Raw genomic sequence first — 15,147 nt, forward strand, 5'->3', positions numbered from 1 at the left:
CAGAACTGAGGGTTTTTGGGCTTTGACCTAGGGGCTGGAAAATCGGGCCCACCATAGTACAGTGTGTATCTTAACAGCTCTGCTCCTATACACAGTGATGACATTCTCCTTGGCTGGAACATCTCTTGCTCTGAAAAATACTGGCGAGAGTGTGTCTCCCAAATTGTGGGGGCAAAGCCCTTGCTTTCATCCAAATATTCCCTCCAGGCTGCATTTCAACCCTCCTCTTCACAAAGAAGGAAATCATAAGCAAAAGGTGACCTTGCTAGATCTTGCCAGGGAACTGGTGACAGGGTGGCAACGCATGGTCTCATTTTTTGGCCCCTGCCACCTGTCTGTCTCCCTCCCTCTGTCTGCTGCTGGGGTCCCATGTTGGCAGGCAAGTTGGGAGGAGATGGAACTCTCTGGAGAGGCCATCTGGGGAAGCTGGTCCTGTAATGGAGGTGAAAAATGTGGTCTTGGGGGACCAAGCCTCAGGCAGGTGAATGTGAAGACTCTGAAGCAAGTGAGGGAAGAGGGAAGTGGCAGGTTGGCAAGAAAGATCATAAATTGTCACATTTTTTTTTACCAGTAATGGTAAGAGTAATAACAATAATAATAGCTACTACTTATTGAGAGTTTATTATATACCAGGCACTGTGCCAAGCACTTTTCACGCATTATTTTATCTATTGTTCACAACTCTACGTAAAAAAAAAAAAAAAAAAAAAAAAAAAAATTGCAGATGACAGATGAGGAAGCAGAACCTCATAGAGGTTGTAACCAGCCCAAGGTCACACAGCTAGAGCTGGGATTTGAGGATCCAGTTGACTCTAGGACCCACACTCTTCCCCCTTACCCGACCCTCACTGTCCTTGCCACAAACATGGGTCCTGTTGCTGAAGGGCTCACCAGGCACCATCCGCCACAGTTTGGCCTCTCAAGGCCCTTGGAGCCTTAGTTACTTGAAATTGTTGGGGTTTTTTTTTTCACTCCATTTTTTCTCCCTAAGAGGCCAACATTCCAATGAGGGATTTGCTTAATAGCATCCAACGGATGGGGCAGGAGCCACACAAGAGTACTGGGCTCTGAATCAGGAGAAAGACCAACTTTGCCCCTGGTCCTGCCATAAAATTGTCATGTGACCCAAGGCAGGTTGAATCCCCTCTCAGGGCCTTGGTTTCCACACCTGTTCAGACGCTATTCTTGGTCCTGGGCAGGGATCAGTGATGTATAAAATGCAAGAGTATCAAAGACTTAGTGATGGGCCCTTGATCTCACTCTCCCCAGTGGAAGAAGGCCTGGCAATTTGAAAGCATTTCAGCTCCCCACCTTCTACTTGGAGATCATGAGTCTGCTGTAGCATTCACCACCACCCTCAGCATTTGATTCCAGGACCAAGTAAGACCTCCATGCCAGGCGACGGCTCCTCACTGGCATGCCCTCCAACCAAACCCTCTCTCACTGAACATGCGTTAATGTCCTTTCCAATCACCCCTCTGAGATGACCTTGCCTTGCTTTTTCCTTCCCCTTCTCCTTCTTCCCCTCAGCACCCGCCCCCCCAGCTGACTATTGCTCTCAGAATGCCATTCTTCTTCACTCCTGACATAAGTAGCTGACCCATACCAACGAGTTGGCTTCTTCCCTGAATGCACAATTCTCCCCTTTAGCTTACTTGGCATCCTCTGGCTTCTTTTTGTTGTGTTTTGTTTTTTTACATATTCAAAGAGATGAAAGGAACTCTGAAGATGAACTAGTTCAATTCCCTGCTTTTTTGGGGTGAGGAAACTGAAATTTGGGTAGAGCCAATGACTTGCCCAAGGTCACACAGACAGGTAGGGACAGAGCCAATACTCTAACCAGGCCTGTGTAATTCCAGAGCCTCTGCTCTTTTACTCTGCTCCCTTGCCCTTTAGGCCTTGGCTCGCCAGCCACCATCACCATCCCCTTCTCCAAGTGTACCTCTTTTCCATGACACACCTCTGAGCACTGATTCTGTTCTCTAATTGTTTGCTATGTGTGTATCTAGTTTTCCCAACAACAAAGCAGCCTGAGTGGTAAGGGGCTAACTCATTCCTCTCACTTGAATGAGGTACAGAGGAGGGAAGTGACCTGCCTAAGGTCACACAGCTCATTAGTGATAGAATTGGGAACAGGATCTTGGTCTCCAAGCCTCCACTTGGGGCCACTCCCACTACACCACAATGCAGCACACCTCTCTTTCTCTCCCCATTTTCCCCTTCTGTGCTGTCGTGGAATTTTACAATCTTGTCCCTTTCTCTCTTCTTTATATTCTTCTCCTCATTCCTAACGTCTGCATTTTTCTTAACAAGCCTGCTGGATTTTAGAACTGGAAGGGACCTCTACCTATCACTTAACAGACGAGAAAACTGAGACCAGGAGAGGGAAAACAGAGTGCCTGAAATCACACAGCTAATTAGTGGCACACCTGGGATGCAAGGCCAAGTCACCAGCTCCTAGTTCAGAGCTCTTCCAACCATCGTCTTTCGGTCTGTGCTCGATTTTTATGGCCGTTCTTGCTTGAAAAGCCCCCTTCCAGGCATGACCAGATCCAGCAAGATCTGAGAGTGCTTGGGCCCAGGGTCACACAATGTCCCTGGGGAAAAGTAGAAGGAGCTGAGAGGCCTGGAACCACCCACATCCTCTCACATCCCACCCCGGGAAGCCCAATTTGGCCTTGCTGAGGGCGGTGACTATCAAGTATGTGTTGAGATAAAGTCATAGCCTCTCCAATTCTCAGTTCATGGCCTAGAGAGTGGCGTCAAAGCCCAAATGGGCTGCAAAACGAGGTCAGTTAACTGTCCTCTCAATGGAAAAATCTTGGAAAATCAATAGCACTTATAACGTCAACAGACCCAGAGACCTTTCCTTTGTTTGTTTTTTCCTCCTGGGCCGGTCTCTCTCACCCACCCTGCTGTGAAGGCACAGACAACACAGGAATCCAGCAAGGGAAGTTGCAAAGGCCAGACCACGGCTCCCAGGGCCCCTGGACCAATGGGGGACAAGGGGCATGCTGAGGTATAAATGACTTGTGAAGATCCTGGCCAAGTCCCTCCTTATTCCCCCAGGCAATGTTATTCAGATTCAAGGCCCTCCCTGGCAACTGGCACCTGGTTGGAAATAACCAGGAGCTACTCAAAACTCCAGTAGAGATTCTGGAAGCTCAACCCTGTCCCAGCTTTGTCACACAGGGGTTTCGCTAAGTAAGAGAACAACCAGAAAGCCAATTAGACACCACCATGGGGTCTTCCTGCACTGGGAAGTGTCTGAGGCTCTCAGACTGGAGTGGATGTTGGCCCTTTTCCCAGACATCCTCCCCACTACACACCATGGGTATATTCTACCTTCCCTCCGTGCACAAAGAGGGTGGCTGCCTCCATGCTGCTTTTTTTCTTTTTTTTCAAACAGGCTTCTTCCTGCTCCCAAACTGGTCCTACTGCACAGCCTGTACTTTCTCCCATTAAATGAAGTCCTTCATATGAAAGTATTGTGAGTTGATTCCAACCTGGATTCATTTGACAAAAATTTATTGAGCCCCTACTTTGTGTCAGACACTGGTAGCTTTTCTCAACGTGTTTTGTGCTATCAAAGACCATTGCACCCCATGAGTTCCCATTGAGAAAACAGGGCCAGATCAATGGCAGATTTGTTGCTACCAGGCAGAGAAAGCTCAGCAAAGAGATGTGAATTTAGGTCCTGGGAATAAGTGTGTGCCATCGTGTGGGTCCCTGGACACTGGGATATTGATGCATGGGTGCCTGGGGTGGTGAGCTGAGAGATGCCCTTTCCATATGAACTCCTACGACCAGGAACAAACACTACATCCCAGATAAGTTGTCCTGGCTGGCTGCAAGGGGCAGAAGTGAGGACAATTCCAGGGCTTTCCATAGCTAAGAAACAACTGTGTCCTCTGGTCTTGGTCCTAGCAGCAGGGATCACTGCCTGTTGGCCTCCCAAGCAAGTCAAGGGACAGGCATTTTGGGAGAAGCAGCCCCGTCTTTTCTGATATGTCCCCTGGGCACCTGAGTTTGGTTCCCTTGCTGGTCAAGACACATCTAAAGCATTTAAAGGCAATTAGGTAGCTTTTCAGCGGAGAGTTTTCCTGGTTAAACACCCCATCCCTACCTCTTGAATGCATGAACAAAATTTTGCAGCTCATCTTCTCCTAGGCAAGGTCTTGGCCCTGTGCCTGCTCCCCCAACCCTGCCCTCTGGGTGATCTTGCTCAAGGACGCCAAGGGAGTTGGTGGTAGAGGCTGGGAGCACAGCCCAGGTTTCCTGGATCCTGGCCTGGCACTCTTGCCACCAGACCCCGCTGCCGCTCCCTCTCCTCTCTTGCCCTTTGTGCCCAGTCTGCACCTCCTGGAGGCACATGCCCCACACCCCACTAGTTTTCATGGGCGAGATGTTTCTATTCAACACCAGTTGGCAGTTCAGCCATATGGGGCATAGGGAGTCTGGCCTTCTGCTGCCCATGGGGCCAGACCTAGGTAAAGGGAGGGGGAGAACAGGCTACTCTGCTGGTCTGGGACCAGCAGAGCTGAGTCCTTAAGGCAGTAATTTTTACCAGGGGCTCTAAGTGTGGCCCATGAGCTTGGCTTCCCAGAGCTAGGGCCCGGTCACTGTGGGGTCCCCCCACCCCCACCCTTGTTGCCATGACACATGGTTCTACAAGTGCTGAGTGGCATTGTCAGAGCCGGATGCAAACGGCACGCAGCAGGGGCTAGCTGTGAGCCAGTTGGCCAGCTGACATTTCAGGGTCCAAAGAGCTTGTGTGTACCGGACAAGCTGTTTATTGTGGTCTTGGCACTGCCCGGCCCTTCAGACAGCAACAAATGCTCCCAAACTGGGAAAGGAGAGGAAATAAGGAATCAGTCGTAGCCAAAGAAGACCTGGACTCTCTTCCCTTACACCATTTGCTCCCTGCAGCTGACATGCTGCTGGTGCCAACCATCGGAAGTGCCCTTCCAAGGGAACTGGAGGGGGCAAGCCCCACAAACCTCCATTCGTGAAGACCTACATCACAAATCGTGGAAATGCCCACGTCAGCATCCTCCTGACTACCCAGAGCTCAGAAGCTGCTGCTGAGGGAAGGTGAAGCAATGGGTATATGGACTAGGAATGAGGAATCTTGATGTCACAAGGTTAACTGGCACTTCAATGCTGCAGGCTCCACACGCACACACGCACACACAGGCGCGTGCACACACACACATGCACCCTTTCAGGGAGATGGTCATAAATGGGCTGTGATAAAAATGGTCCTTTCCAGTCCTGGCCTGGTCCTTCCAGATATACTCAAGGTTGACCACACACACGCTGGGGAAACTGTGGCAAGGGCATGCGTGTTGGAGCATAGGTGAGGTTCACAGGTGAGAAAAAGAAGACCCCACATGAGGGAAGCCAGGAAGCCAGAGTCTGGAGAAGTTGTGTGGTAGGTGGAGCTTCCCAGAAGACATTTATTTAGCCCCATGCCCAAGGGCCAGTCTAGTCTGTCCCATGGCCTGAGGGGAAGCCCTATCTGGGAGGGACAAAATCAGGGATAATGGGTTCAGCTCTGCCTCAGGCTCTTGACTTCTGCACCTCATTCCACCCAGGTTTGTAACTGCCAGGGCTGGACACACATAATTACTGAAGTGTCTTCTTAGTGTCCCGCTTGGGGTCTTTGATCTGTCTATGGTTGATCACATAGTCAGTCCTATCAGCCCAGTGGTGTGTGATCGACACGATTGATCATCACACATACACTGGGCAATGGGAATGAATACCAGCAGCTAACAGTCATTGAGCACCTGCTTTGTGCAAAACGTGGCTCAAAGCACTTCATATACAGTATATATGTTATCTCAATCAACTTTCTCCAGACTCAGGAGGTCAATATTGTATGTATCACTTCCAGTTTGCAGAGGGGAAATCTGAGGCTCAGAGAGGCAAAGTAACTTACCCAAAGTCATACCGGGTAGAGAAAGTGGCTGACTAGGGATTCAAATTGAGGTCTGGCTGGCTCCAAAGCCTGAGCTCATTACGCTTCAGGGCCACTTGTGACTAAGCATATGAGCATGCCCATTTGTAGAAGAAGCCTCAGGGAAGGAAAGAACAGTAAGAGAGATCGTGCTGGGCATGGTGGCTCACGTCTGTAATCCCAGCACTTTGGGAGGCCGAGGCGGGCGGATCACGAGGTCAAGAGATCGAGACCATGATGGCCAACATGGTGAAACCCCGTCTCTACCAACAATACAAAAATTAGCTGGGCCTGGTGGCACACGCCTGTAGTCCCATCTGCTCGGGAGGCTGAGGCAGGAGAATCGCTTGAACCCGGGAGGCGGAGGTTGCAGTGAGCCAAGATCGTGCCACTGCACTCCAGCCTGGCGACAGAGCAAGACTCAGTCTAAAAAAAAAAAAGAGAGAGAGAAGATCCAAGAGCTTGGCTGAGGTTGAAGAACCATGACGGTGAAAGAGTGGGTGTACAACAGAGGGAGGATGGGCAGCAGAGTGCCCAGCAGATGCCAGAAGCTAAGATTATCTAAGTTTGTGGCCTTGTCCCTCTTGGTAACCCCCATAGCAACCAAAACTGGTGTCTGCCATTTCACTGGTACTCATTCAGCCAAACTCTGCTAAAGAATGAATAAGCTCAACATGGCAACCTTGGGAAATACACACAGACCAAGTTACTGCCTCCCACTTGGTAAGACCCAAGCTTTAAAGTGAGTTTCCCCAGAGTCCGGGTCACCAGACATTACTTAAGCCCCAAGCACATGACAGGCATTGGGAGTAGGGAGATGAACATCACAAGGATCCTGCCCTTGAGGTGTGGCCAGGCTGGCAGGGGAGATGTTAGGTTTGCCTAAGCCATCTCCAGGGGTCTACTGAGGTGTGGGCTATGGTTAGGGAAGAGAATGAAGCCCCTAGACCTCCTCAGGGATGAGGTTGTTGCCTTCAGCTCCCAGAACTCAGCACTGCCACTCACAGAACTAGGCAGCCCCACTGGCATCTTTCTCCCTGGGGTTGCTTCTACAAACGCAGCTCAGAGCTGCCTTTTGGGGCTATGCTGGCCACTTTAGCTGGCAAATTGGGAGCCTGAAATGAGTGAGGACTGGGAGAAGGGGCGAAGCCACCGTAGATCCCCCTTTCCCTTTCTTTCTTAGTGTGTGGCAGTGAAGCCCCCTCAACCACACCCCAGCAAGGGGAGAACAACTTTCCTCAGAGCTCTCCCCCACTCCCACATTGTCTCCTCCCACTCTGGGAAGCCCAAGGCTTAGAGAAATGAATCCAAGTCATTAACTAATTAATGAATATGGATGGCAAAGTTGCTGAGGTTGCTGGAAAACACCCTGTTGCCGCCAACACACACAGCGCAGCCAGGCACCCGCCTCCCACCATGGGCGAAAGGAGGCTAAGGAGAAACTATTGGACTGTATCTTCCTAAGGCTCTAGCTGCAGCAGAAGCGCCCACAACGCAGCAGCCCCTTGCTCAGTGCCTGGAGACCAACTCATGGGTAACACATCCCTTTGCAAGAACGGCCTCCTCCAATCCAGCTGGGGCAGCAATCTGCTCACTTGCTCAGCATCAAGGGTACTCTCTGTGGTCCAAGGAATTCTGTCTGTAGGGCTAGCCCAGTGCAAAGTGCAAGGCTGCAGGAGATGGATGGATGGAGATAGGAAAAGGGGAGAGAAAAGGAGAAGGAGAGACTGAGAGGCACACACAGCTGGCAAGAGCCCATCTCCAGCTGTTGGGCGGGCTGTTTCCTTTGATAAAGCACTTGGCAGTACTCCCAGTTCTGTAGTTTCTGGCCTGCGAAAGCACACCCGGAGCACGAGCCTGCCTGTGGGAGGACTTCAGCCTTGCTTTGTTTTCTTTCTTTCCTTTTTTTAAGCTTTAGAAAAGGCCCCTCCCCTCCCAAGGAACCTTGTCCCTCCCCCAACACCTCGGCAAAGTGAAGTTGCACCAGCAGGTGATGTGGGCTGGGCTTCCGGGTGCCTTCACAGAAAGTCAGTGCCACAGAGCCATGTTAAAGGGCTTGGGACGGGTGTGCAGTTAAGTCTCAGCATATACTTTCAGGCACATGTATTTGAGAGAGAGAGAGAGAGAGAAAGAGAGAGAGAGAGAGAGAGAGAGAGAGAGAGAGAGAGTGTGTGTGCGCGCGCGCGCGGTGTTTAGGAAGGGGGGAGGGAGCGGGGGAGGGAGGGAGAGAGAGAGAAAGAGAGAGAGGGAGAGAGACTGAGTTGTGTGTGTCTGAGAGGCTCTGCTTGTTTGTTGTGGTTGATGCTGCCTTCTGTGTGGCACATCACCACTGTTCTCCCCGCCGAGGCTCCTTTCAGCTCACTAATGCTTCCCTGGAAGGCCTGGGAAATAGAGGGAGTCCCCATGTCACAAGATCACACAGAACAACAAGCCTCTCTGCCCGCTGGTCTTCTGGCTTTGTGGAAGTCCGTCTCTCCCCCTTCACCCTCCTTCATAAAAGGAGCAAGGGGACTTGAAGGCATCCAAGGTCCCTTGCAGGGACCAGAGCCTGTAATATGGCAAGTCTGCCTGCCCCCTCCCTGCATTTACAGTCCAATGACCCAACGGCCCCAGACCCCAGACAGTTTAACCAGCCCACGCACGTCCTCCCTGCGAGTTTCCCAGATTCCTGAGGGGAACCTGATCCCGCCCTGGGATCAGTATGGGCTCTTCACATCATCCGCGAGAGATCCCTGCTCCTCGGGAGCCCCGAGAGCAGCGCCCGTTCCCACAGGCTGCCAGCCCCACAGCACCTGTGGTTGGGAGGCGACCTCCCAGAGTCAGTGGTGAGGCCGCCCAGGGAGAGGGCCCTGTGGCCGGGTGGGAAACACGAGCAGAAGCGACAGAACTTCCCCCTGCCAGCCCAGGCTGCCAGGATAGCCCTGGACACTGCCCCGTCTGACCCGCTGCCCCACCACGCCCATCCAAGGCTGGAACCAGAGCGGCCCTTGGCCCTGAGCTACGGGAGAAGCCAGTTCCGAAGAAGAAAAGGCGGCACAACGACAAACACAGCCTGGGAACTTTGCACCAGCTTCCACACTGGAAGGCCTCAAACGTCCCTTGTTCCAAACAACCCCCCATACCCCCAACAAAAGTATTTACCTCATGAAGAAAGGGAGGGCGCTAGACTCACAGAACAGACAGCAGAGCCAGAAGGGCGATCATCTAGTCTGACCCTTTCATCTTACATATGGGGAAACTGAGGCCCACAGTGAGGAAGAGACTTTTGCTGGCTAGCAGAAGAACTGGCAGTAGAAGTCAAGGTACTTCCCCAAACACTTCCAGGTCCTAGCCATGGTTGAAAGAAGATATACCAACCTGAGGCCCAAGCAGGTATTTCGGGCCCCAGAAGCAGTAGTCCTGGCTCCAGAGTTGGATTTGTGAGCTGAGGATGGCCAGGATGCTTGTGTGGTGCAGGGAGCACTCTAGACCCCTTTACTTGTCAATAGACATGCCTGTTGACACTGCTGGGCCAGGTGGGCATCACATGTAGGGCTCGATGTCAAGCCTGAGCTGGATTGAAGACCTTTGCTCTTCCCTGCCCTCATTCTTTCTAGAGTGCTCTTCCTACCCAGGGCTCAAGCTCTGGAAGGGAGGGGAAGCATGGCCCTAGTTTTTCCACTGGTTGTGGGTGAGGGGGGAATCAACAGGGGAACAAACCCAGGTCTGTAGCCTTTACCACTCCTTTGGGATTCAGATCCCACCTTGCTCCTTCCCAGTCCAGATGTAGTAATACTCCACTTGAGGCCCAAGTGTGTAGCCTGAAATAAGTGCAAGAGAAGTGGGTGGGTGGGAGTGCCCACCAGCTTTGAGAAGGTGATAAGCCATGGGAAACTTTCTTAACATTTAAGCCTACTCCGTGGCCAGACTGTAGGTAGATGGTAAGGTTCACTAAGCTGACCCAGGTATGCCCAGGCCAAAATTAAATCAATCAGGTCGATCGATTTAATACATGCTCAAGCCATGGGCCAGGGCTGAAGCTGAAGCCACTGGTACTGCTGCCCTGCCCTCTCTGACATGGCCAACCTTCCAATACTGCCAGCCGCTAACCCTTCACTATAGCCAGTGTGGAAATAGCACACTATGTTCTGAGATAGGGTGACCTGGATATCTGGGAGAAAATCCATTAAAATAAAGAGCTCAGGCTGGGTGCGGTGGCTCACACCTGTAATCCCAGCATTTTGGGAGGTTGAGGCGGGCGGATTGCTTGAGCCCAGGAGGCAGAGGTTGCAGTGAGCCGAGACCATGCCACTGCACTCCAGCCTGGGTGATACAGTGAGACTCCGTTTCAAAAAAATAAAAAAAATTTAAATTTAAATTAAAAAAAAGCTCAGCATCAAAGAAAACTGTGCCTACTACTTTCCATACTTACACACATGCTGTGAAACCTATTCTAACCACTTTTATTCTTGTTCTTGTTAATGACTGTGATACACATGAAACACTTAGAACAAGGTCTTCTTTGGCCTTCCACACATGAAATTCTGCACCAAGATTCCAGACAGTTGCAACTGCCACCTAATTCCTCCTAAAGCCAGAGCCCATCATTTTATAGGATATTTTGGTTTGTGCTATTTTGCTCCTGTGGATGTATTCCTTTATAATTGTTCTTGAGTGATTTTTTCCATGTATATCCCATCTCTCTAACTTGACCCAAAGCTTCTGAAGGGTGGGAAGCAGGCTTTTGGTGTTCTTTTTATGCTCCCCTCCTCCCTTCTCCTGTGGCACCCAGTACAGTTGTGTGGGCAAGAAGATGGTCTCAATGGTGCTTTTTCAACTCAGTAATAACAATTGGGGAGGCCAGTATAATTTCTGAATTCATCTGCAAAGTGCATCCAGTGATGACGGAAATCTGCAGCTGGATGTATCCGTTGCAGCAAAGAAAGAGCTATTCTTGAAGGGAGGGCCACCCAAAGCCAGCATGTGAGTTGACTTAACCACCCCCTCCCTGTCCCATCTTGATGAAATAACAAATAAGTAGTTGGGACAAGGGTGGGGTGCCTCACATCAAGCAGCCATTAAGCCTAGGAGCTGGACATTCCATTCCATCCCAGCATCCTCTCCTCTGTTTCATCCATCTCTTTGGCAAGAGGATTTTAGGCTGATTTCTAGGTTCCTTTCCAGAAGTGGCAGTCTCCCCGAATCTGGCCACTTGACTACATCAGATCCAAAGAGAGTTACTGATAGGAAATCACTTGAAACTAGATATCATGTTTGTTCATTAATGTGTATTAGCATATACCTTGTTTATGGGTTTACCTATGAGAAGATACAAGGGGACTGGTTTTGGTGGTGGACACACATTTATGGATGGGAGCTGTGAATAATTAGGAATACTTTACCTAAAATACCCTTCAAATCAGAACTGTCTCTAGTTTGTACTTCTCTCCTGCTTTGCAAGTTGCTTTACAGACTGACTAGCTTGAAATTTTAAATTTCTAACATGAAGAATACAAAAGTAGCCTGCGACCTATATTATAGCTGAAGACTGAGAATTTAGCTAATATCTTGAAAGAGAGAACCACTTACTATTAACCAAGTCATTAATTAGGGTCATGTTTGCACTTCAATTGTCAGCTCCAAACATCCGTTTGTTTAAACCAAGGTCACTTTAGTTTATTACAGTTATAGCCACTGGTGAGATAATCTGCTTAGATTTCACAAGTATGTGTGAATTGCCTACCTCAGCCCTTATTTTCACAGAATAAGAGTTCTCTTGAAGGCACAGGGTCAGAGTAAAGAAAATAAATGATTTTCCTTCTCAATAGAACTAAAAACAAGGCTTTAATTAATTCACCAAAATTCTAGGATTGAATATCTATATTACATTTCTTGATGATGTTAAACTGTCCAAGTGTGACCCACAGGATTCCCATTGATCCAAGAACAATCTTTAGGCAGACATTTCATTGGCTTGGAGATTGTTTCCCAATCATTGAGCCCTGCAATTCTCACTGGTGGAGTCACCCCCGCTTTGTTGGAAGAGACTGCAGGTGGCCTGGGAGAGGGGGCACCTCTCTCTGTATCTTATGAAACAGAGAAAGGAGGGACACATGGTACAAAATATCTCCCTAAGAAGGAAGAAGCAGAGGCAAAGAACTAAGGAGGTCTGGGAGTGCAGAAAAGGGAAGAGGGGCCAAGACGGTTCTCCCAGGCAGGCCCAAGATTGAGGACAGTCCAGACATATACACTCTCACTAGACAGACAAGACAGACAGACACACACACACAGACATACACACACACTCATGCATGCACACACAGGCAGGCACACATACCTCCTTCACATATGCCTTGGTCATCCTGACTCTCCAGGAGTACTACTTCCATATACAGGATTTGACTCAGATAGAGTCACACACAGAAGAACACCAACCCTCCCAGATGCTATACTTCCAGCTGTCCCTTCACAAACACAGGTAGGCCCCCATAAGTATATTTACCATACATTTTTCCATACCTTTTTTGCATACAGCATAACAGCTGTTTTTTTACGTACACCCTCATCACTCCTCAAGTCCCTTCCACCCACTCAAGTCCTGACATATGTACGGAGTTACACATACACACATTCATGTGTGTCCTCCTTCCCAACAAAGGCAAAAGGAGTCTGCGCTCAATACATTCTTTGTTCTTTCTTACTTGGTGGATTACATTTGAAGGAGTGACTGGACAGCTAGGTGAACTGGATAAATACTTTTTCCAATGTTTCTTAGCATGATGGAAAAGTCCATCAAGGACATTTGAAATCCCTCACAGAGTTCACTCCCTTGGCCTATAGACAAGACACCAGTGGTAACCTTTAGTGACTGCCAAAAGCTTCTAAGATTCTCTTAGTCCTGCTATGCTAGCTGACCTTTGCAAGGAATCTTGGGTATTCCAAACTAAGAACATTTAGTATAAGAAACAAAACAAAAACAAAATCTTTCCCTGATGGTTAAGAACAATATGAAAGTATCTGTCCAAATTAGCAGGCCTGGCCTGCGGCAAGATGGTGAAGAAAGAAAAGTTGACGTGAAAGCCCACTCCATTGTGTGTCCTCTTGCAGCTTGCTTAGTCCCCCTTATCACACACGCCCTGGGACCACATCTTGTCCCCTGCCAGGCTTACTCTGTTCTGGCCAAAGACTCCTAAAACTGGGAAAAGGACTTTTGGATTTGACTAGAAGGAAGTCATGGGGAAGCTTAGAAAGAGAAGTGGGTCTGTCAGATCTAAGCAGAATGTAGTGTGACATCTAAGTGGTGGGCACTGTGATCTACGCAGTGCAGTGTGCACAGAAAACCTAGCGACCAGTGAGTTTTTACCCAGTCCCGCTAGCCTGCCCATTAAAAAGTTCAAATGTGGCTTGGCTGAAAAGCAATCAGATCTGTTATTGACACTGTTTCATTCTGAATAGCACAGAGGACTAAAGGCTTTCTTTACTTAGTTCATTAGTTAGCTAACAAGCATTTTTCAAGCACCTACTGTGCATGGAGCACTGTCCCAGACACTCGGCTGTTGCCGTTGCTGCTCTGCTATTGAATTTCTAAATACAGGCTGTTGCCAGACATCCAATTTTCTGAGTGCTTGCTCTGACAGGGAACAATGACTAATGAACCAAACATCAGGGAGGGCCCTCTGATCTCCAGCACAGAACATGCCCATAAAGGCAGATTCTAATTTGTTCAGCAAGCAGCTGCCAATTCTTCTGGGATCTTAATTACCTGGAGCAGTTTATGTGGGTGAATCCCCTTGGGAGAGAAACCCTGAACCCTGTCTTTCTCATACCCTATCATACCCCAGGCCCTATAAGTGGCTTTAACTCTCAGCCACTGCATATGTGTCCAAGGTCCAGGCCACAGCAGTTCACCAGATAGGCATTCCAGGCACTGCCCACGGCCTTCTTCACACCCCTGCACACACACCCCTGGACACACCCCTTCACACATGCACATACATGGAGGGAGCTGTATGTAAATAGTGGAAAACTCAATGGGCTGCAAGTCAAGAGACAGGAATTTCAATCCAACTCTGCTTCTTCTCCGTGTGACCTTGGGCAAGACTTTTTCTATCTCTGGGCTTCTATTTCCACTTCTGGAAAATGAGGGGCTGGACTAGATAATCTCTATGAGCCTTTCCAATTCTAGCACTTGAAATTCTGCTCCTCAGAATGAAATGAGACTCAAGTGAGCTGTGTGACAAGATCAGATTTGTGGCGTGGGGATGAGATAAGGTAGGGCCAGTGGTCAGCTCAGAAGCCCCAGAAGTCACCATCATGGAGAAGGAAAAATCGCTGCCTCCTTGGGTCAGCCCTTCCCAAAGTTCCATACTGCTTCTGAAATGGTTCACAAATAAGGCTGGTGGATCTGGGGCACGGTGGGATCTTCCTCCCTTCTGCCTCATCTCCCTCCCCTTTCATTCCTTTTATAACCCTTGTTCCAACTCTTGTTCCCTTTAACCAGCCCATCAGCTCACACCGACTAGTTCTCTTAGCAAACTCTTCAGAAAGGCCAGCGATTAAATGATCTCAAGAGTCTCCCGAGTCTGTAAAATGTAAATAACAGCCCCTGCCCTGGCGGCCTTCACAGGCTTTCCAGAGGATCAAATAAGATAGAGTCTGTGAAAGTGCTTTAGAAATTGTCAAGTGCTATGCAAATGCGAGGGATTATTATTAATGATGGGTGGGGAGGCAGCCACATGATGTGAGAAGCAGAGTGCCAACCTGTCTGCTTTGCTTACCATCTTAATTGGGTAAAGGCATTGGCATTGCCAGCCTATAGCCAGCTTGTAGTAGGGACAGTTATTTGCTTAGCATCCTCCCCTACTGGACCCCGTCTGCTAGCAGAGGGCAGAGCCAGAGGGAAGAGGAGAAAAGGACAGGACAGGTCAGGTGCGGTGGCTCATGCCTGTGATCCCAGCATTTTGGGAGGCCGAAGCGGTTGTATCACCTGATGTCAGGAGTTCAAGACCAGCCTGGCCAACATGGTGAAACCCTGTCTCTACTAAAAATACACACACACACACACACACACACACACACACACACACACACACACAAATTAGCCGGGCGTAGTGGTAGGCACCTGTAATCCCAGCTACTCAGGAGCTGAGGCAGGAGATTGATTGAACCTGGGAGGCAGATGTTGCAGTAAGCTGAGATCACACCAT

The 15,147-nt window shown here is 49.4% G+C and overlaps 1 protein-coding gene across 3 annotated transcripts in view, besides 1 other annotated feature; it reads right to left on the reverse strand.

The window, feature by feature from the left end:
• TSC22D3 (TSC22 domain family member 3) overlaps positions 1-15,147 on the reverse strand; it is a 62,768-nt gene that overhangs the window by 20,969 nt on the left and 26,652 nt on the right. The window lies entirely within an intron of this gene.
• Positions 2,604-3,181: an enhancer, noted in NCBI's record as "NANOG-H3K27ac hESC enhancer chrX:106980023-106980600 (GRCh37/hg19 assembly coordinates)". NCBI's record gives its function as "activates a minimal SCP1, AML or CMV promoter by ChIP-STARR-seq in naive H9 embryonic stem cells {active_cell/tissue: H9 hESC(naive)}" and the evidence as "EXISTENCE:reporter gene assay evidence [ECO:0000049][PMID:30033119]".

The sequence above is a fragment of the Homo sapiens genome, chromosome X, assembly GCF_000001405.40.
Source record: "Homo sapiens chromosome X, GRCh38.p14 Primary Assembly".
NCBI lineage: Eukaryota > Metazoa > Chordata > Mammalia > Primates > Hominidae > Homo > Homo sapiens.